This window comes from Homo sapiens, chromosome 13 (assembly GCF_000001405.40).
Source record: "Homo sapiens chromosome 13, GRCh38.p14 Primary Assembly".
Classification (NCBI taxonomy): domain Eukaryota; kingdom Metazoa; phylum Chordata; class Mammalia; order Primates; family Hominidae; genus Homo; species Homo sapiens.
Genome location: NC_000013.11, coordinates 48,748,662 through 48,750,804, shown reverse-complemented (window position 1 = coordinate 48,750,804; position 2,143 = coordinate 48,748,662). Strand labels below are relative to the sequence as shown.

Here is a 2,143-nt window from a genome sequence, read left to right as displayed (position 1 = left end):
GGAGGAGTGAAGGCAAAAAGGAAGGAACATACCAGAGCACTCAGGAGTCCTGCCAAGCTCCTCGGATGTCCTTGTGATCGCTCCAATGTCAGACTGCTGAGGTCTGAATCCTGTCTCTGGATTCTAGCTATGTGCCTTTAGACAAATCATTTAATCTCTCTGAGCCTCAGTTTCCCTAGTTGTCAAGTGGGAATATTAATAATTCCTACCTCATGGGCTGATTTTAAGGACTAAATGAGATAAAGCCCGTAAGGTAGATAGCACAGTGCATATCAGGTACTTAATACATGTTAATTAACATTATTGTTATTAGTATGCCCATGTTTCTGATGCCTTTTTGAAAATCCATGTCCTTTCCATGCCTTTTCACTCTATCATCTGCATATTAGCACCAGATAGAGTCCATCAAGCTTTACTCTCTGCAGTTTGTATTATGAAAATAGGAGGTGTATTGAATGTTTCTTTTTTTATGCTCCCCTGTAGAGTCTGACACCGGTCTTACCCCCCGTGCAACCCACACAGGCAGTGATTGAGAAACCCGGTGGGGCAGTGAAGGCTTTTAAGCAGGAGAGACACACGACTAGATGAGGCTGCTCACAATATCACTTAATTATCTTGGGATCAAATTTATTACAAGCACCTAAAATGGTTTAGAAGCTTTTGTCTTCATTTGTCAACAGCCCTAATTCTTTTATTTCTGGGGAGATTACTCTTGGGCTTACTGGGTCTATTGTACTCCTCTGGGCATGGGGATGTGATATTTTACACGTTGTTGAATTAAGCCCTTGTCATTTCTGGGCTAACACTCCCCAGATGAGTCAGATGTTCGCTTCTCAGCGGTGTGGCCTCTGGTAGCGGCTCTGCCTTCAAAGGTCAGTTCGCTCTTTTCTCTGAGGGCCCCCGGCTCGGCTGCCACCTAATGGTGAGTTTTGTGATGAGTAAGAAATGACTCTTAAGAAACAGTTCGAATGCGCCCTTGGACATGAGACCCTCTGATGCTGTGAGTCATTCTGGATGACAGCGTGAGAGATATTACTCATCGTTGTGAAAGATGATTGTCTTAAGTGCTTCTGCTGGATGGGAATCTGCCTTTGAAAAACAATTCCATTTTATTTTCATCAAATCTAATAATTTTTTCTCTTCAAAATGGACTCTAGCAGAAGAACCTGGCATCGGGGGAGGAGAGGTGTATTGCTAATAGTCGCCCAGCCTTTGGAATGTGCTAAGGTCTATTTTAAGCACTTAGAATATCTCACTTAATCCTTATTTAAATCCTGAGGTAGGTAGTGCAATCATAACAAAATTAGTAAGTATTATCATTGTTGTGGTTGTTATTTTACGAATGAGAGAATTCAGCTTTGGGCTGGTCTAACAACACTTAGCTACTAAGTGGCAGAACTAGAATTGTAGCCCAGGCCTGTCTGACATCAGTAACTGTTCTTGAGCACACTGCTCCTGAATGATGCACGAGTCTGCACACCCGCTAGGTTCCAGCATGAGCTCATCCCACAAGGCATTTGTTGAGGCCCAGAATTGGGCACTGGTTATCAGCCATGACCTAGACACAGTCCCTTTCCTCCGGAGTGTACAGTCTAGTAGGAGAGAAAATAAAAGTAAACAAGCAATTGCAATAGAGCTTGATAAATCCTATAGTGAAGTGAACAGGAGGTGCTGAGGGACCACATATGTATAAATGGCCTACCCTGTAACCTTGAGGCAGGCAGACAGACTTCCCAAGGAAGGTCACCAAGGTAATTCCTATGGGATGAATGGGAATCAGGCAGGTCCAAGGAAGGAGGGGGTTAGAGCAGAGGGCAGGACATGTCCCACAGAACAAGCAGCAGGTGTGAGGGGCCAGAGGTCCCAGATGGGTGCTGAGTTCTGGGAAAACACTCTCATGACTGAATGGTGTCATGAAGGGACCATGGAGTTGACTCATTTGGCTGCTGACTTTTGCCCTCTATCCCTGGCAGGGCGCTGGCTATCCCATTTTGAAAAAAACACTGCTTTGCAGAGAAAAGGCTCTGAGAAGGAGGAGAGAAGACAGATTTTTTTTTTTATCATCCTTTCTGTGGCCTGAAACGGGCATATGACAGCTGTCCTGGGCCCTGGGGGGAAGCCTGGGTATGCAATCTGTTTTAGC

At 44.8% G+C, this 2,143-nt stretch overlaps 1 annotated feature.

Moving 5' to 3' along the window:
- Nucleotides 232-1,431: an enhancer, noted in NCBI's record as "P300/CBP strongly-dependent group 1 enhancer chr13:49323510-49324709 (GRCh37/hg19 assembly coordinates)". NCBI's record gives its function as "activates an origin of replication core promoter dependent on BRD2, BRD4, P300/CBP, MED14 and CDK7 cofactors, with strong dependence on P300/CBP, by STARR-seq in HCT116 cells {active_cell/tissue: HCT116}" and the evidence as "EXISTENCE:reporter gene assay evidence [ECO:0000049][PMID:35650434]".